Below are 18,004 nucleotides of genomic sequence, written 5' to 3' on the forward strand. Positions count from 1 at the left end.
CCAGTTTCTGCTCGGAGGAGTTCTCAGCTGGGCCTGCAGCTCTCATCACAAGCTTTCTGTTCCTTGTAGAATCACAGCTGAGGATGAGACCCCTCCCTGCTCCTCCTTCCCGCTCTTCCTCCTTCTGAGCCCCTTCTGAGACTACCTCAGGTGAGCAGCCCTATTTTATGTTCCCTGGAGGTGTGTCCGCCCCTCAGCACAGCACAGCCAGCTGGGCAAAAGGGTTTTTCCTTTGCCCGTAACTGAGCAGATGGGCTCATCAAGCCCTCTGCCATCAGACCATCACCTGCCTTAGAACACAAAACACTCGACTCTCCCCCCAGTCTCTCTGACCCGGGGAGCAGCGGGCTGACTGCCGGTTCTAATGAGTGCACAGTTTCAAGTTCACATTTGGGGAGCACTCACCTATTACCAGGTGCTGGGGATAAGCACCCAAATAGGACACAATCCCGGTGGGAAAGGAGAGGAGGGTTGTGAATGAGGTCTGTATAAAGTGCCCTGGGAGCTCAGAAGAGGGAGTGGAGTGTAGAGACAATGAGATCTGGGTGGCTCTGCCAGGGCTCTGCGCACAGGCGAGGAAGGAGAGAGAAGGAAACACACAAGGTGGAACAGCATGGGCAAAGTCCTGAGGCGTGAGGCTGCAGGGCTTCACCACGACCGCCCCTGCCAAGCTGATGGCATCGTTTTCCTGCCCCATCCTTGGGTGTCTCACGCTGTGGGGAGGAAGGAAAAGGAAGTCTTATTTGGGGAACCCCTGCTGTGTCCCGACTCAATTACAGCAGGGCAGGAAAGCTCCCTGGGTAAGGAGCTGGGCTCTGGAAACAGAAGCGTGGCTCGGAATTTCCGCCCCACCACTGACAAACTCTGATCTCAGAAAGGCTTTCACTCCCAGCCTCTGTTTTCCCATCTGTAAAATGGGCCTAACAGTAGTACCACCCCCGCAGGGTTGTCCTGAGGTTTGAATGAGGAGTCCCAAGGAGAGCTTAGTGCATTAGCAGCAGACACAAAGGCTGTGGTCCTCAAATGTAACAACACAAACACGTTTCCTGGGGAGCTACAAACACATAAGTCCTGGGATTCTATCACCAGCCATTCTGACCCCATCAGCCTGGAGTGGGGCCCAAGAAATCTGCATATTCACTCCCCCTCTCCCAGGATGGATGGCTTGAAGACCACACTTTGAGAAACAGCCACTCGATAAGGCTTGCTGGTCCTGTCATTTATTTTCATTGTCTCATTTCATCTTCCAAACGGCCTGCAAAGTCTGAACAGATAACTCATTTCACAGGTGAGGAAAGAAGCTCAGAGAGGCAAGTCGGCTGCCCAGGTCATGCAGGCAGCAACGGGTCATGCTAGGATCCAAACCTGGGTCTGCAACCCCCACACCTGTACCTCCCCAAGCAGCGCTCCCTGTCGGGTCAGGCTTCCTCCTGGCAGAGGCCAGGTGGGCGTCCCCAGGCCTTGTCGTCCCACCCGCCATCCCACCCCCACTGCCTCCACTGTTGCTTCCTCCTCTGCTACTAATCTGGTCTCACAGACCATCCCATTTCCTGCTAGCCCACCAGCCGCCTTCCTTGCTCCCAATGACACTTCCTGGCCTTGTGCCCTCCTGTTACCTCCTTTGCCTCCAGAGAGGTTGGAGCAGAGGCTGGGCAGTGCCAGAAATCAGGCATGAAATCCTCAGGGGGACCAAGGAGGCACCAGCCTCCCTCCCACAGTCTCAGCTACCTCTGCTACGGTGACCCCCAGCCCCACCCCTGGGGCCCACAGCTCATGCCTGGCTCACCATTCCTTTGTTTATGGACCACAGGAACAGTCGTTTTCAGGGCAGAGTCAACTTCCTCATGGACTGGGAGTACAAAGGGAATTGGCAGATGGTGCCAGGACAGGCCCTGTCCCCATCTGCCACAGCCCCGAGTCTGAGACCCAGCAGGAAGCAATGCACAGGCCAGTGTATCCCCATGGGCACGTAGACCATGAGGACAGGCGGGGGTGAGGGGGATGTGGACTGGAACACAGGGGACAGAGCACTGTCCTGGCTCCTCTGCGGCCAACCCCCCCTCTGGGCAGGAGAAAGCAGAGTTAATCCCATTGGAGAAGGAAGCGCTGAGCTGTTGTTTGTTCATTCCACAATCGGCTGTTGAATGTGTTGGATCCCACTCAGAATTCCGCCCCAAGGACTGTTCTCCTTCCAGCAGGTCGCTCCTCAGTCTCCAGCATCATCTGTCTTCCCGTCTGCTGGATGCTCCCTGGGGACATGAGCGTGCTGCCATAGTTAAAAAAAAAAAAAAAAAAAAAAAAAAAAAACCCTCCCACTTCTCTGCTCCCATTCACTGTAAGACTTGGGGAAGAAGCTACAGTCACACGTGACTCCACATCCCCGTCCCCCTTTCTCCCCTTTCTCTAGCCCCTCCAATCTGTCTTGTCTACCTTTTCCTGTTTAACCTGTTCTGGTCACAGTCATTGATGACCTCATCTTCCAAATCCAAAGTTAAGTCTCAGCCCTCATGCTCCCCAGGCTGACCCACTGACTACTCCCCTGCCCTCCTCCTCTGCCCTCTCCTGGCATTCCTCCTTCATCATGGGACCCTCTTCTAATGGATCCCCAAATGTCAGAGGGTCCAAGTCCTCCCTCCCTCCAAGCTCATCCATGCCCATGGCCTCAGATGCCAGCCATAAGCTGTTGGGTTCCAAACCTCGACTCCAGGCTGGACTCACCCCTGTCTCCCCCACCAGCCTGACACCTCCACCTGGGTATCTAACGAGCATCTCAAACTCAACCTGCCTGAGACAGAGGAATCACTATCCCCTCCTCCTCCAAAAATATCCTTCCATCACACTCCCCATCTTGTGCTCTGATTTACTAAACGGCCCTGGGCCCTCTCTTTCTCAGGGTCTCTGCTTGCCCAGCTATATAATAAAACAAGTTTGGGACTTCCCAACCATTCACCCATGGAAAAACAGAAGCAACTCTTCAAAGGACAGATTCCCAGGATCTGCCCTGGGAGATTCCAAATCAGTTGATCTGGGGTGAGCCCAGTCCTCTGTAGTTTTTAGAAGCTCCTCCTATGTCTCTCCTGGTCAGCAGAATCTTGGCCCCTCCCTTCCCCCCAGCCTCTTGGTTCTTCTGGGCTCTGATCCAGCCTCAGCGTCACTGTCTTCCACGCCCCTCTTTGATTCTCGTTTATGTCAAAAGCCTTGTGAGGATGAGGCTGTGATTATCCCCATTTTACAGATGAGGAAACTGTGGCTCCAGGATGACACAACTGGCCAGAGGTCACATCAGAAGCAGAGCTGGGTCACTTGACTCCACCCAATATCCCTAAATGCAAACATCCCCTACAGACCGAGGCTGGCACCTTAGAGCTGGAGTCCATGCCCGCTCTGACCAGGAGAAGCCAACCTGGTCCTCCAGAGCCAAGAGCTTCTGTCCCTTTCCCATCTCCTGAAGCCTCCCTGTCACCTTTAAAGTCCATTCCCACAAAGACATCATGGGATCACCACAGAAAATCAAGCTCTGGGGCTAGGCTGACCCCAGCTAGATTTTTGGCTCTTTTATACCCCAGCTGGGTGGACAAGCACCTTAAACCCGCTGAGCCTCAGCTTCCCGGGCTATAAAATGGGGGTGATGACACCTGCCTGTAGCATTCCAAGGAGGGTTAAATGTGATGCTGCAGCCAAGGGTCCCCACAGCCAGGCTCTTTGCAGGTGCTGGGTTCAGAGTCCCAGAGCTGAGGCCGGGAGTAGGGGTTCAAGTGGGGTGCCCCAGGCAGGGTCCAGTGCCAGCCCTCTGTGGAGACAGCCATCCGGGGCCGAGGCAGCCGCCCACCGCAGGGCCTGCCTATCTGCAGCCAGCCCAGCCCTCACAAAGGAACAATAACAGGAAACCATCCCAGGGGGAAGTGGGCCAGGGCCAGCTGGAAAACCTGAAGGGGAGGCAGCCAGGCCTCCCTCGCCAGCGGGGTGTGGCTCCCCTCCAAAGACGGTCGGCTGACAGGCTCCACAGAGCTCCACTCACGCTCAGCCCTGGACGGACAGGCAGTCCAACGGAACAGAAACATCCCTCAGCCCACAGGCACGGTGAGTGGGGGCTCCCACACTCCCCTCCACCCCAAACCCGCCACCCTGCGCCCAAGATGGGAGGGTCCTCAGCTTCCCCATCTGTAGAATGGGCATCGTCCCACTCCCATGACAGAGAGGCTCCTCGAGGGCACGCTGGGCCTCCTCGTGGCTCAGAGCAGGGTCGGGGAAGGTGCACCCAGAGGTAGTGCCAAGGGCACAAATGGGCATCTCGGGGCTGAGGGGGGCAGGGCAAGGGCTTGGCTCTCCCAGAAGTGTATTCTCCAACTCAAAAAGGCCCACTGGCCTTCATCAGTGCCAGGCTCAGAGAGGGCAGTATTCTGCCCCAGTTGCCCAGCATGCCGGGGCAGAGGACTGGCACCCAGGCCTTGGCCTCCCCTCGGTGCCTTACCCTTACTGGAGAGGATTTACCAAGGCCTGACACCAGCCTCCTCAGCCCCCTACCCATACGCCACTAAAGCTCTATGCTGGGATCTGGGGAGGGGCCCTGAAAAGGAAGCTCCGAGCCTTGGCCCCTCTCGGTCAGCCAGTGCCCCCATTTCAGGATAGGCAAGCTGAGGCTTGGCTCTGGGCACTTGAGGTCTTGCCTTTCCCTCTGGGCCTTTCCCTGCCCAAACACCATCGGGGCCCACTATGTGTCAAGGGAGCTGTAGTCTGGACAGCGGTCCACCATTCCTCCCACCAGCACCCTTTCAAAGGCTAGAGCATAAGAGCCCCAAGGCCCCCACAGCCCAGGAAGTCCCCCAGAAGCAGGAGGTCTGGGCCAAGAGCCTGGCCTGGAGACAGCTGCCCTGGGTACAGATCCCAGCTCTCCCATTTGCTCTGGGGTGACCTTGGGAAAGTTACCCAGAGTTTCCAAACCACAGTGGGGAACAAGGGATGGTGTGGGGCTCATTATTTTACCATTAACAACTCCACAAGGTAGATACATTCTTTCTTTATATCTCAGTGAAAGCAACTGAGCTTTGGAAACATATGAGCTGGTGTGGGGATTTGAACCAGGATCTCGTACTCCAAAGCCCCAGCTCTCCCCAGGTCTCAAGTGTCTCATCTGTGAAATGGGGAAACAGTGTTTCCTCAGTCAATTGAGTGAAGTGAGCTACATCCCTGGTGCTGGGAATGGCACATAACATGAGATCTTTAAGGAATAGTGGCTGGATTTACCAGCTAGCACAGAGCCGATCCTGGTTGTGAATGTGATAAAGATTTTGGCCCTTGAGGTATGGTCAAACCCCATCACGGAGGGGTCCTCAGGTGCCCAGCAGGTACGAGGAAGGGGGTGCAAGTGAGAGGACATCGCGAGCACCTCTGGGCCTCTGCTCCATGTCAGGCTCCCTCCCCAGCGTGGACGTTTCTCATGTGTGATGGGCAGATAGGATTCTGACAAGAGAGGAAGGGCATTCCCAGGGAGGCAGCTTTGAGGAGTCGAGGGTGTACCTGGAAGGCTCTTTTGCCACAGGCCACTGGAGCCAGGGCCAGAAGCCCTGGTCCATCCTCAGGTGGTGGGAAGCCTGGGACTCTCCTCTGCCTGCCCTAGAGAGCAGCAGGTATCCACCAAGGGGCCCAAGAGCTGCTGAGCCCCTGAGCAGCCCTACCAATTTCAGCTTATGGTGGTGAGGGGTAGGGGAGGTGTATACTGGCCTGGAAGGGGTTAAGCTGCCCGCCTGCAGCCTCAGCCTGAGCTATTGTGTTGCCAAACAAGGGCCGGACATGAGGGCAGGAAGCCAGCAGGGGCCACACATTTTCTGCAAAGTTGGATGATTCACTGCTGACTTGGGGACACCCAGGGGACAGAGGGGACACCATCCCAGGAAGAATCTTAGGCTCATTTTGCCCACATGGACCCATGACTGTTCCCTGTATCCTCTCTCTGCACCCCCTCAGTCACACTGAAGCAACTATGAGAATTCCCATTTGACAGATGGGACCATCGAGGCTGAGGGAAGCTGTGCAGCCAGTCCAAGGTCACACAACCAACACAAGGTAGAAGCAGGGTGAGTGCGGTTCCTTCTGACCCACAGTCCATGCCACACTCCACAGTGAAGCTCAGAGAGGGGGAAAGCAGAGCAGTCCAGGCCACAGAGGCAGGCACAGGGACAAGCCAGGAGCCCAGTGATACCAGGGGAAGGAATGTTCTAGGAGGCAGGGCCTCAGGAGCTTCACCTCTGGCTGAGGAGATACTAAAAAGTCTGTCCTGATCCAGGTTCAAGCTGGTGTTAAGTGGGTAAATCATGGAGGGCTTGCTGGAGGAAGAGTGGGAATCCCAGATGCTAGGAGGCCTTGGGCAGCCCCTCTGCAGCCTGCACCTCAGTCTTCCCATCTCTTGAGAGTAGGGGATGGTCCCTAAACTAATTCAGGGATTTCCAGGTTGTCTGCCTTGGACCATAGCAAAACAGTCAGATCCTGGCAGGTCCAGATACTAGAAGGAGGAGGAAGTGGGACCCAGGGGCAGGCCGGGCTGGTGGTGAATGAGATTTCCTTCTGCAGAGGAACAGAAAGAGTAGGAGGTGGGCCCAGAGTAGAGCCAGGAAATGAGGTCAAGCGTAAGTTGGCCAGTCAAAGCCACACCCACCAGGCTGGAGAGGGCGGGTAGATAGGAGTCAAGACACCTGCACCCTTACTGAGCACCTACTGTGTGCCAGGCTTTGCACCCATGATCTCATTTAATCCTCCTGCCCAGGGAGGCAGCTATTGTTGCCTCCATTACAGATAAGGAAGCTGAGGCTCAGCAAGCAAGAGATGAACCCAAGGTCACACAGCTCCCGAGCAGCTGGGCAGGTTCAAATAGGCAGGTGCAAGGGCCTCATTCTGTTCCCCGCACTGCCCTGACAGTCCCAGACAAAGTCAGGAAGCCCAGAGGAGTCTGGAAGCCTCCTTAGCATGGGTGTTCTCTCCTTGAAGTTTGGAGCTGTCCCTTTAGAAGGCAAGGGGATAGACTAGATGACCCGGAGCCCAGAGATTCCAGCACAAATTTGTTTCACATCACAAAATAGGTCTGGCCAGTTGGTACCCTCTACCTTCATTCAGTGGGAATGAACTTGAACTCAGCCCCTGAATCCTCAATACAGTCTATGAGGATCCTCAATACAGTCTTTGAGTGATTGATTCGTGATGTCTGCCATAGGTGTGGAAAGGGGCATGTGGCAAGCTGAGTTCTGTTTTGCCAGCCCTGTCTTAAGAGGTGCCCTGCTCAGGGGTGTTTGCATATTCACTGGAGACTTTTTTGTTTGTTTGTTTGTTTGTTTGTTTGTTTGTTTTTGAGACAGAGTTTTGCTCTTGTTGTCCAGGCTGGAGTGCAATGGCGCAATCTTGGCTCACTGCAACCTCCACCTCCCAGATTCAAGCGATTCTCCTGCCTCAATCTCCCAAGTAGCTAGGATTACAGGCATGTGCTACCATGCCTAGCTAATTTTGTATTTTTAGTAGAGACGGGGTTTCACCATGTTGGCCAGGCTGGTTGCGAACTCCTGACCTCAGGTGATCCACTGGTCTCGGCCTCCCAAAGTGCTGGGATTTACAGGTGTGAGCCACCACACCTGGCCAGGGACTCTTAAGAAGGATAATTTTGTTGTCAGTAAAGGATCAAAATCCTATCGGTGGTCTTTTGGGCAGTCCCATGGCAGCCTATCCCATGAGCCATCAGAGGACCTATTTGGGAACAAGGAGGAGCTTCTTTAAGTTATACCAACAATTGTACCTACTCTGACCACCCTACGTGTTGTCTGAAAATATACAGATTTGTTTCTAAATCCTGTGAGTGGGGAAGGAGTGGGTGACAAGACCAGAACTGGAGCTGGCACCAGGCTGACAGGCAGCACGTCCAGGTCTAGGGCCTTGAGTTCATGCACCCAGGTATGGCATGAAGTGAACTCTTAGGCCCAGAACCTGCCTGGGCAGATAGGCCAGGAGGCAGAGGCTGTGCTGGTGGCAGGTGGCAATCAGAAGACCTCATGGAGTAGGCAGTGTGGGCCTTGAGAAGAAGTAAAGCGTTAACCCAGGAAACACAGCAAAGAAGAGCATTCCAGTCAGAAGGAACAGCCTGGGCAAAAAGCCTGCTGCTGAGAGGAAGGGCATTGTGCATTTCAGGAACTCCTAGCTCTCCTCGAGGCTGGAAGGGGCAGGGAAGTGGAGGAGAGGAGAGCTGGCAGGGTGGGCAGGGGACAACCATGCTAGGCCTTAAGGGCTGGCTGAGGAGCTAGACTTCCTCCAGCAGGGAGTGGGGAGGCTGTTGGCAGAACCTGCAGGGAGAGGAACAGGTCTGGAACCCACAGAAGCCTATCCCAGGGCCAAACTGAGCCACAAACCAGGAGGAAGCAGAAGGGGCCAGGTCATAGCTGCCTGGCCAAACCCCATTCCCGAGCTCCCAGGGCCTCACCCTTCATCCTCCCAAAGTCTGTGGCCGCCAATACGCAACTTTAAATGCCTGAGCTCAAGTAGACCATTTGAGAGTCCCCACAGAGTTTGGGGGTCACTGGGTCCCAGCCCCAACCTGGACTGAGATTTGAGCTGTGGAATGGGAAAGCGGTGGGGAGAGCTGCCCAGGGCCACACACGGAGCTGGGTCTTCAGTGCCCCCACTCCAGCAGGCACACCTCCTGCATGTTCTAGGCCGGCTCCTCCCAGCGCCCTGCCCCTCATCCCTGACCCCAGGCCTCTGGGCTGGAGTCCAGAGGCTGCAGGAGGCTGGGCTGGGATCCTAGCTGAAAGCGGGTGTGCTGGGGGTCAGGGAGGAGAGCAGCCAGGCCTGCAAAGAGGAGCCCTGCAGGAGTTGGCCTGGGCAGGTGCCTGTGGTCAGGGGTGTGCACTTGTGAAGGCATGTTTGAGGGTGTCACAGGTCCATGAGGCCTGCAGATGTCATGTGTGTGTCCTGGACCTGGAGCCTTCCTCTGCCCCACCCCTGAGGCCCTCCAGCCTATTGAAAACCCCCTATACTGCAAAGCCCAGACTTGGCCCCTGGAATCTAAGGCTTGAGTGGGGCTCTGGTCAGGTCGAGGGGCAGGGGGTCCTCCTGGTGCTCAGGGGCAGGACCAGCCCAGGGGCTGAGGGGCTGGACCAGCCCATTGAGGGGCCCCCAGCTGGGTCCAGACTTCCTATGTCTTATTTAGCTACAAAGCCAGGGGTCCCAGGCAGTCCCAAGAAAAGCAGCTCTAGCCCTTCCCCTCCCCGCCCTTCCCTTCCCTTCCTCTTCTCTTGTATCCCTAGCCTCTCTTTTTGACACTGTAACTCAGCACAGAGCTGAGCCGATCTCACAGCCCCTTGGAGGCAGAACCCCAGAGAGATGGACGCCCACAAAGGGAAAGGGACCAAAGGGAGCTTTGTGTGATGTCCCACAGTGGCTCAGTGAGAGGCAGGACTCACTCCTGGGACTGTGGTCCTCAGACCCATCAGGGCCCTCCCAGTCTGTATGCTCCCACAGCCTCCTCGATTTGTCCATCAAAGCACATGTCACAATTTCAAACTGCATTTTTCACCACATGACCGGCATCCCTCTCTCCCACGGAAGTGGAGCCTGTGTTTATTCCTGCATGGAATTAAGTGCCTGGCACATAGTAGATGCTCAATAAATGTTTGCTGCATGACTGTATAACCCCAGGACTCTAGAGAGAGCTTCAGAGAAGTGGTGACATGTGTCCTAAATCCAGGCAGAGGAGAGAGGACAGCAAGTGCACGGGCAGGGAGGATGCAACCAAACCTGGTGGGGTGGGGAGCTTCCCAGAGAGTTAACGTCCTGTGGGCCGGAGCTATGCCTGGAGGCTCACCAGGCACCTGCAGACCCAGACAGGCAGCTGGAGAGGAGCAGAAAGAGCCGCAGGAGCCCCAACCTTTTCTCAGGCTGCCCAGGTGACTCAGCCTTCGGAGGACCCCTCGGTCACCAGGCTTGGCCTAGGTGTCTAGGTTCTGATCCCAGTGGCCCCACCCACGGTAGATACAGACCTGGACCCCAGAGGCCTCTGCGGTCCCAACCTCCCATGGGAGCATGGTGGAGCCCAGTCGTCCCCCTTATTTTCCAAGGCTCCCCTGCTGTTTAATCCTGGGCTCCACGCCCACTCACCAGGGGATTCGGGCCACTCACTCCGTCCTCTCATTTTGGGTCCTCCAGACCTCCCCAGACTGAGGGAGGGTACAGAGGGCCCATCCTCCTCCATTTGGAACTGCCCCCAAACCCTCTCACATGGCTCTGGGGACAGCAGCATCGATAAGCATCCTGGATGCCTGGGACACTGCAGGTACCTGGCCTCGGCGTGCTCAGAACCTACATCTGAGTTGCCAAGCGTGGCCCCTCCCTGCTCACCACTGTGATCAGGCAGTTGCTGGGCTGCTCAGCTGGGAATTTCTGAACATGGAAATCACTTCCAAAATCCTCAGACCCTCTGAATGTCTGGGGTGCCCCAAATCTACCTGGCAACAGCTTGAGTCTCTCTGGAAACTGCTGAGAACGACCGAGAGATGTGACTCTTACCTGCCGAAAGGAAACAGGCTAAAATGAAAAAAGGGCTATGACCACATCTCCAGAGGCTGCAGCCAAGAGAAATTCAGTTTTCAGCTGTGGCTGCAGTAGATCTGACTGGCCCGGTTTCCTCTGCATCATGATGGGAAGGAACATCTGTCCAACAAGACCCTTCCCTGCAGCCCCCATTTTGGTTAGCCAATTTTTTTTTTTTTTTTTTTGAGACGAAGTCTTGCTCTGTCACCTGTTGCCCAGGCTGGAGTGCAGTGGCAGGATCTCAACTCACTGCAACCCCCGCCTCCCAGGTTCAAGCGATTCTCGTGCCTCAGCCTCCCGAGTAGCTGGGACTATAGGCATGCGCCACCATGCCAGGCTAATTTTTGTATTTTTTAGTAGAGACAGGATTTCACCATGTTTCCCAGGCTGGTCTCGAACTCCTGACCTCAAGTGATCCACCCGCCACAGTTTCCCAAAGTTAGTGGCCAAATTTCTAACCTAAAGGGCAAAAGACACAAATAAATGTGGCTTTTCAGATGGGAAGGTCCCACAGGTGTCTCTGAGATTGAGTATAGAAGGAGCCTAGGATTTAGAAAAAGATCGATCTGATGACAACCATTCATGAGTTGTTTGTCTCTGAGCCTCAGTTTCCTAATCTGTGAAATGGGAATGATAAGTCTTACATCCTGGGGATAGTGTGAAAATTAAATGCGCTGGCATGGATGAAGACCAAGCACCGAGAATAGTTCATTATTATTACATGTGAATGTCACCACAGAGATAGAGAGAGTGGCATGACGCAAAAAGCACTAATTTGGGGGAAAGACAGCCTAAGTTCAAATCCTGGCTCCACTGCCTCCGGCTATGTGAACTGAGATGACTTACGCTACCTCTCTGAGCCCCCATTTCTTTACCTGCAAAATGGGAACGCAGACAACTACCTAGAAGGGTTGTTGCAAGGTTTAAATAAAATAACGTGTGCCTCGGGGGAGTGCTCAGGGATGTCAGCCCTCCTCCACCGTCCCAGGCGAGAAAGAGCTGTCTCGGGAGGGTGCTCAAGGCTCTGGCATGGGGGTGCAAATGGGATTATGTGATCCCAAGCTCCCAAATGCCCCCAACCCAAGGTCCTGCCCCTCACCAACAGCTGACTGATGAGAGCTGAGCACCCAGACCTCCCTCTGCCCTGGCAAATGACACACAGCTGCTGTGAGGTGACTCTGCGAGAGCCAGTCTCAGCCCTGTCAGAGGGAAGGAGCTTGAGGGTGGCCCATGTGCTCCAAGGGACTTCTCTCCAGAGCTAGCAGCAGGGCCCCTGCTGGACACACAACAGAATCCAAGGGGCTTTTCTGCACCTTCAGAGAACGCTTTGTTATGTGGGGCCAGACAAAGCCCACTGAGGAGTTAATGTCCCCCCAGGAGCCACGTGGTCCGAGCCTGTGACTGGTGGACTCTGCTTTGCTGAAGTCTGGTGTAGGTACAGCCGTGCATCTTTTTTTTTTTTTTTTTCAAATCAAGGAAGGAACCTCATTTTATTCTGAATGTGTTAGTTTTGACCGTCTTCACCCTGAAATTTTCTCTTTGTTTAATTTTATTTATTTATTTTTTATTAGTATACTTTAAGTTCTAGGGTACATGTGCACAACGTGCAGGTTTGTTACATATGTACACATGTGCCATGTTGGTGTGCTGCACCCATTAACTCGTCATTTACATTAGGTGTATCTCCTAATGCTATCCCTCCCCTCTCCCCCCACCCCACGACAGGCCCCGGTGTGTGATGTGCATCTTAATGACTGGGACACATTCTGAAAAACGAGTTCAGGTGATTTCGCTGTTGTGCAAACATCAGAGAGTGTGCTTACACAAAGAAATCTGGATCGTATAGCCTGCCGCACACCTAGGCTGTACGGTACAGTCTATTGCTCTTAGGCTCCATACCTGTGCAGCATGGTACTGTACTGAATGCTGTAGCCAATTTTAACACGACAGCAAGTATTGATGTATCTAAACATATCTAAATACAGACAAGATACAATAAAATTCCCATGTAAAAGATAAAAAAGGAGCCTGTAATCCCAGCACTTTGGGAGGCCAATGCAGGAGGATCACTTGAGGCAGGAGTTCAAGACCAGCTTGGGCGATATAGTCAAACCCCTCCACCCCAACTATCTCTTCAAAAAAATTTAAAAATTAGCCAGATGTGCTGGCACATACCTCCTTGTGGGGCTGAGGTGGGAGGATTGCTTGAGCCCAGGAGTTTGAGGCTGCAGTGAGCCGCATTCACACCACACTCCAGCCTGGGCGACAGAGGGAGACTCAATCTCAAAAAAATAAAAAAGTAAAAAATAAAAATAAAAATAAAAAAATAAAAAATGGTACACCTCTCTATGGTACATACCATGAGTGGAGCTTCCAGGACTAGTAATTGGTCTGGGTGAGTCAGGGAGTGAGTGGTGAGTGGCCTAGGACGTCACTGTATCCTACTGTAGACTTAATAAACACCGTACACTTAGCTTCACTAAATTTACTTAAAAATATTTTTCTTTCGTCAATAAGAAATTAGTTTACTATTAGGGTAGTGCAAAAGTAATTGCTGTTGTTGCCGTCTAAAAAAAAAAAAAGCCACCGGCTACGGTGGCTCACGCCTGCAATCCCAGCACTTTGGGAGGCTGACGCGGCGGATCGCCTGAGGTCAGGAGTTTGAGACCAACCTGGCCAACAAGGTGAAACCCCGTCTCTACTAAAAATACAAAAAAAAATTGGCCGGGCGTGGTGTCACGCGCCTGTAATCCCAGCTACTTGGGAGGCTGAGCCAGGAGAATGACTTGAACCTGGGAGGCGGAGGTTGCAGTGAGCTGAGATCACACCGCTGCACTCCAGAACAAAACTCTGTCTCAAAGGAAAAAATAATAAATAAATAAATAAATAAATAAATAAAACACAATTACTTTTGCACCAACCTAATATAACATTTTTTATAAAGTTGGTCTACACTACCATCACCCCAAACACACGAGTAATGGCTTGTGCTGTGACGTCACAATGGCTGCAATGTTACTAGGGCAGAGGAATTTTTAGCTCCATTAAAACCTTAGGGGACCACATTCATATGTGCAGTCCATTGTTGACCAAACAGTCATTTTGCAGCACATGACTCTATTTATCCATCTGACCGCTGGCTGCGGTCAGCCCTAGGGATCACTAACCCATCCCAATAGGCCCCAGGAAAGAGAAAACCACATTCCCGCTCACTGTATTAGAGATGGGGTTCCCAGCAGGAAACAGAGCGAACCCTGGGAGGCCAATTGAAGAGATTTTATGAAGGGACTGCTTCAGAGAGGTGGGCTCCTTTAAGGAAACCAACCACTGCCTGCACAGAGGTGGGCTCGGATGTTGAGGTACCCAGAGACCAGCAACAGCACTTCTGCCTGGAATTCCCTTCCCTCTCCTGTCAGTCCTGTGGCTGGCACTCAGATGTGGGCTGAAACGTCCGCTCTCCCAGAGGCCTTCCTGGCCTCACAGGCTCAGCCAGCTGCCCCCTCACTCTCTGCAGCACCTCCCATTGTAATTCCCTGAACATCTCTGATCGCCAGCTGATACGTTTCCTCATTGACTTATTTATTTTCCTGTTGTTCCCATTACTGCAGACTCCCCAAGGGAGTGTGTCTTACTTACTGCGGCACCCCCATTGCCTAGCATGGAGCCCATCATGCAGTAGGCACCCAGCACCTATCTATCAGCTCAGAGCCTGGGCGCTCACCCTGTTCTGCCCAGAGCCCTGAGAACTCTCCCTCTCCCTGTTTCTCGTTTTCACTTCTGTCCATTTTACTTTGTCATCTTTGAGTCACTTCTCACTTGAGGCAGGAAGAAAGAATCAAGACTTGCACTTTCTTTCTGGACAAAGAAGGAAATGAGCCACAGGGTCTGGGTCCAGTGAGGCTGGGGCAGGGGTCATGCCTGCCGCCTCCCCTGAGTCAGGGACCAGCTTCCTGGCCAGGACTCCCAACCTGCCTCCTTTCTTCTCCAAGCCTTTCCTCACCGCCTTCCTCCTGCCTAGAGCATCCCTTCAAGGGCCTCAAGTCTCTTCCAGGTTGACCCCCTCATTTATGGCTGAGGAAACTGAGGCCCAGAGGGGTCAGGGCCTCTCCCAGGCATATGGCACTTGCATTCTGGGGCCTATCCCCACCCTGGGAGTCCACTTCCTCCAGGGCCAGAGGCAGGAACCAGAAGGCAGGGGCCGTCGATACTAAAATCAGTGGGCCCAGAGGTCAGCTGGCCCAGCACAGACACCCTCAGCCCTCCCTGAGGTCAGCCTGGCGCCAGCAAATCAGGGGAAATGTTACTAGAGTTTACAAACCTCTTGTGATGTACAGAGTCCAGCCTCTCCCTCTGGCCAGACAGGGGACAGTCAAGGGAGGAGGCCATCCCATCCAGCACCTTGTAGATCCTTGTCTGTCTCCATATGTGAGTCCTGGTTCCCTCTCCCACCCACCTGTTCTTCCTCTACATCATCCCAGGAGTTGCAGGTCAGTAACACAGGGACCCCAGAGGGTGGAGAGATAGAGTCAGGGCTGAGAGAACATGCTAATGGCCAAGGTCACAGCCTGCACTCCTCGTGGGGCTGTAGAGAAAACCCCTGTTCCTGGAATTCAGAATGAAGCCAGGCCTTGATCTCTGGGTGATCCACATCCCTACCCCACAGACCTGCCTTCAAGAGTGTGCAACCTGTGCAACTGTACAGGGCTTGCACTTCAAAGGGCATCATCCTTGGTTTAATGTTCTGTCGCCTTCTTAAAATTCTTTTGCACTGGGCCACACAAATTATGAAGCCATTCCTATGAACCCAGACCCTCAACTCACCACCCCACCCACCCCTGCTCTTCTGACAGCAAAGCTGACCACTCACTGTAAGATCTGGAGTGAAGGGCTGGCCCTCAGGGTTAAGACAGTTGGATTTTCCTAAGAGCCTTCTGAAGACAGAATCAAGGCAAAATTGTCAAAGGGGCTTTCAGGCAGGAAGATGTTTGCCGAGAGAAGGCTTTAAATCTTACCCCATAGCAGCTGCTGGGACAAGGGAAGTCAGGAGGAAAGGATTTGAACTTCCGGGCCAGACAACCTTGGTTCAAATCCTGGCTGTGCTCCTTACAGTTTGGGTGATTTCAGGAATGTTCTGAAACCTCTCTGTTCCTCTTCTGCAAAATGAGGGTTATAATTACACCAACCTGGAAGATGATGGGGAAGATTAAATAGATAAGATATATAAAGTGCTTGAAACAGTGCCAGGCAAAAAATAAATGCTTGATAAAGATTAGCTATCAGACACTTGGGTTCCTGTCTGAGTCCCACCACTTACTCCAATGTGAACTTAACATCTGTGTGCCTCAGTTTCCTCATTTGAACAATGAGGATAACCTGAGCACCCAATGCCTGGGGACTTAGGAGCTGCCATTGGCATCAGCCTCACACCCTCTTCCTGGAGACCTTCCCCACAGGCCCTCCTCTGGGCTCCCATATCCCCTGCACTTGCTTCCGTCCTAGCACATGTGACTCGCAAGTAGAAATGGTTTCCACGTCTATTTTCACCCTCCCCAGTTCGGAGTTCATCAAGGCATGAAGGGGGTCTGGTTCTGCTGGTGTCAGCAGACAGTGAAGGATGAAGGAGTGAACAGATAAAGGGAGTTAGGTTCCCTATGGAAGCTGCTCACACCCTTAGGCAGTGGCCACCATATATGGGCGATCGGTCAGAGTGGTGGAAGAAATTTTAGGGAAAGGACGCAAACCTTCTTGAAAGGTCAGAAGGTTTTGCATAGCTTCGGGGAAGAATAAGCAGAAGGCAGCTGTTCTACCCTGAGGCAGAGGGTGAGGAGTAGGTACAAGGAAGTGTAGGGAAATTTATCTTAAATGCGCTTGTTTACTCATGTTGTCCTAAAACCGACCTTTCATCCGAGTGCATGACTGCTCCCTGAAAGGGGGAACAATAATGTTAATTACCCGCAGATTGTGTTTGCCCCAGGCTTTTGGCATTATATCTAGCTGCTCTTATGTGAAATACCTGTGTCTAAGTACTCCTTTCATCGTCACTGGCCAGAGTCTGAATGTGTCTCCTCTTTCCCCAGATCTGTTCCTCCTGGGAAGATGCAGAGGCTCATGATGCTCCTCGCCACATCGGGCGCCTGCCTGGGCCTGCTGGCAGTGGCAGCAGTGGCAGCAGCAGGTGCTAACCCTGCCCAACGGGACACCCACAGCCTGCTGCCCACCCACCGGCGCCAAAAGAGAGATTGGATTTGGAACCAGATGCACATTGATGAAGAGAAAAACACCTCACTTCCCCATCATGTAGGCAAGGTAAGGCTCAAGCCCCAGGACAGGAGAAGCCATCAGCAGCTGGCCCATAGTGACAAGTGGTGGTGGTGATGGCGATGGTGGCAAAGGTGGTAATAGATATTGTGGTGGTTGTAGGAGTGGAGATGATAAGGGTGAAGGTGGTAGCAATAGTGGTAGAGGTCGTGGTGGTAGAAGTAGTGGTGGTAATGGTAGCAATGGTGGTGGTAGTGATAGTGATGGTGGTGAGGATGGGAAAGGCCAAGGTGGTGGTGGGAGTGGTGAGAATGGTGGTGATGGTAGTGATGATAAAGGGGTAGGTGGTGGTTGTGATGGTGGTGATGGTGGTGGTGGCTGTGATGGTGGTGATCACGGTGATGGTGGTGATGATAAAGGGGTAGGTGTTGGTGGTGATCACGGTGATGGTGGTGATGATAAAGGGGTAGGTGTTGGTGGTGATCACGGTGATGGTGGTGATGATAAAGGGGTAGGTGGTGGTGGTGATCATGGTGATGGTGGTGATGATAAAGGGGTAGGTGTTGGTGGTGATCACGGTGATGGTGGTGATGATAAAGGGGTAGGTGGTGGTGGTGATCATGGTGATGGTGGTGATGATAAAGGGGTAGGTGTTGGTGGTGATCACGGTGATGGTGGTGATGATAAAGGGGTAGGTGGTGGTGGTGATCATGGTGATGGTGGTGATGATAAAGGGGTAGGTGGTGGTGGTGATCACGGTGATGGTGGTGATGATAAAGGGGTAGGTGGTGATTGTGATAATGGTGATGACAGTGATGATAAAGGGGTAGGTGGTGATTGTGATGGTGGGTGATGGTGGTGATGATAAAGGGGTAGGCGGTGGTCTGACGATGGTGATGATGGTGGTGCTGATAAAGGGTAGGTGGTCGTTGTGATGATGGTGATGATGGTGATGATAAAGGGATGGGTAGTGGTTGTGATGGTGGTGATCACGATGATGGCGGTGATGATAAAGGGGTAGGTGGTGGCAGTGATGGTGGTGATCATGGTGATGGTGGTCATGATAAAGGGGTAGGTGGTGGTTGTAATGGTGATGATGATGGTGGTGATGAAAGATAAATGATGATGATGGTGATGAAAGATAAATGTTGATGGTGGTGATGATGGAAGTGATGATGATAGT

At 53.2% G+C, this 18,004-nt stretch overlaps 1 protein-coding gene and 1 long non-coding RNA gene across 6 annotated transcripts in view, besides 7 other annotated features; one reads left to right on the forward strand and one right to left on the reverse strand.

Annotated features, from left to right (window-relative positions):
- Positions 1-1,501: 1,501 nt before the first annotated feature.
- Positions 1,502-13,123, reverse strand: LOC105371318 (uncharacterized). The gene is made up of 3 exons (XR_933687.3): positions 12,923-13,123; positions 10,479-10,539; positions 1,502-2,249 (listed from the first exon to the last, which is right to left on the reverse strand). It is a non-coding gene; the product is annotated as an uncharacterized LOC105371318 (long non-coding RNA).
- Positions 3,906-4,455: an enhancer, noted in NCBI's record as "H3K4me1 hESC enhancer chr16:66400487-66401036 (GRCh37/hg19 assembly coordinates)". NCBI's record gives its function as "activates a minimal SCP1, AML or CMV promoter by ChIP-STARR-seq in naive H9 embryonic stem cells {active_cell/tissue: H9 hESC(naive)}" and the evidence as "EXISTENCE:reporter gene assay evidence [ECO:0000049][PMID:30033119]".
- The window catches only part of CDH5 (cadherin 5), a 38,094-nt gene continuing 24,102 nt past the window's right edge, over positions 4,013-18,004 (forward strand). For 2 of the 5 annotated variants that reach the window (XM_047433469.1, XM_047433471.1), the window contains exons 1-3: positions 4,013-4,080; positions 6,002-6,074; positions 16,641-16,869. In XM_047433469.1, coding sequence (XP_047289425.1) covers positions 16,660-16,869 — 210 coding nt within the window. In that variant the 5' untranslated portion in view covers positions 4,013-4,080; positions 6,002-6,074; positions 16,641-16,659. Of the gene's footprint in view, positions 4,081-5,964; positions 6,075-16,640; positions 16,870-18,004 lie in introns of all 5 variants that reach the window. The other 3 variants (XM_011522801.3, NM_001795.5, XM_047433470.1) reach the window with 2 other exon arrangements.
- Positions 5,266-5,972: an enhancer, noted in NCBI's record as "H3K27ac-H3K4me1 hESC enhancer chr16:66401847-66402553 (GRCh37/hg19 assembly coordinates)". NCBI's record gives its function as "activates a minimal SCP1, AML or CMV promoter by ChIP-STARR-seq in naive H9 embryonic stem cells {active_cell/tissue: H9 hESC(naive)}" and the evidence as "EXISTENCE:reporter gene assay evidence [ECO:0000049][PMID:30033119]".
- Positions 6,500-6,579: a silencer, noted in NCBI's record as "silent region_7557". NCBI's record gives its function as "represses an Ori minimal core promoter by ATAC-STARR-seq in GM12878 lymphoblastoid cells {active_cell/tissue: GM12878}" and the evidence as "EXISTENCE:reporter gene assay evidence [ECO:0000049][PMID:35858748]".
- Positions 8,316-8,817: an enhancer, noted in NCBI's record as "H3K4me1 hESC enhancer chr16:66404897-66405398 (GRCh37/hg19 assembly coordinates)". NCBI's record gives its function as "activates a minimal SCP1, AML or CMV promoter by ChIP-STARR-seq in primed H9 embryonic stem cells {active_cell/tissue: H9 hESC(primed)}" and the evidence as "EXISTENCE:reporter gene assay evidence [ECO:0000049][PMID:30033119]".
- Positions 10,016-10,545: an enhancer, noted in NCBI's record as "H3K27ac-H3K4me1 hESC enhancer chr16:66406597-66407126 (GRCh37/hg19 assembly coordinates)". NCBI's record gives its function as "activates a minimal SCP1, AML or CMV promoter by ChIP-STARR-seq in naive H9 embryonic stem cells {active_cell/tissue: H9 hESC(naive)}" and the evidence as "EXISTENCE:reporter gene assay evidence [ECO:0000049][PMID:30033119]".
- Positions 11,188-11,761: an enhancer, noted in NCBI's record as "H3K27ac-H3K4me1 hESC enhancer chr16:66407769-66408342 (GRCh37/hg19 assembly coordinates)". NCBI's record gives its function as "activates a minimal SCP1, AML or CMV promoter by ChIP-STARR-seq in naive H9 embryonic stem cells {active_cell/tissue: H9 hESC(naive)}" and the evidence as "EXISTENCE:reporter gene assay evidence [ECO:0000049][PMID:30033119]".
- Positions 16,797-17,423: an enhancer, noted in NCBI's record as "H3K27ac-H3K4me1 hESC enhancer chr16:66413378-66414004 (GRCh37/hg19 assembly coordinates)". NCBI's record gives its function as "activates a minimal SCP1, AML or CMV promoter by ChIP-STARR-seq in primed H9 embryonic stem cells {active_cell/tissue: H9 hESC(primed)}" and the evidence as "EXISTENCE:reporter gene assay evidence [ECO:0000049][PMID:30033119]".

This window comes from Homo sapiens, chromosome 16 (genome assembly GCF_000001405.40).
Source record: "Homo sapiens chromosome 16, GRCh38.p14 Primary Assembly".
Lineage (NCBI taxonomy): Eukaryota > Metazoa > Chordata > Mammalia > Primates > Hominidae > Homo > Homo sapiens.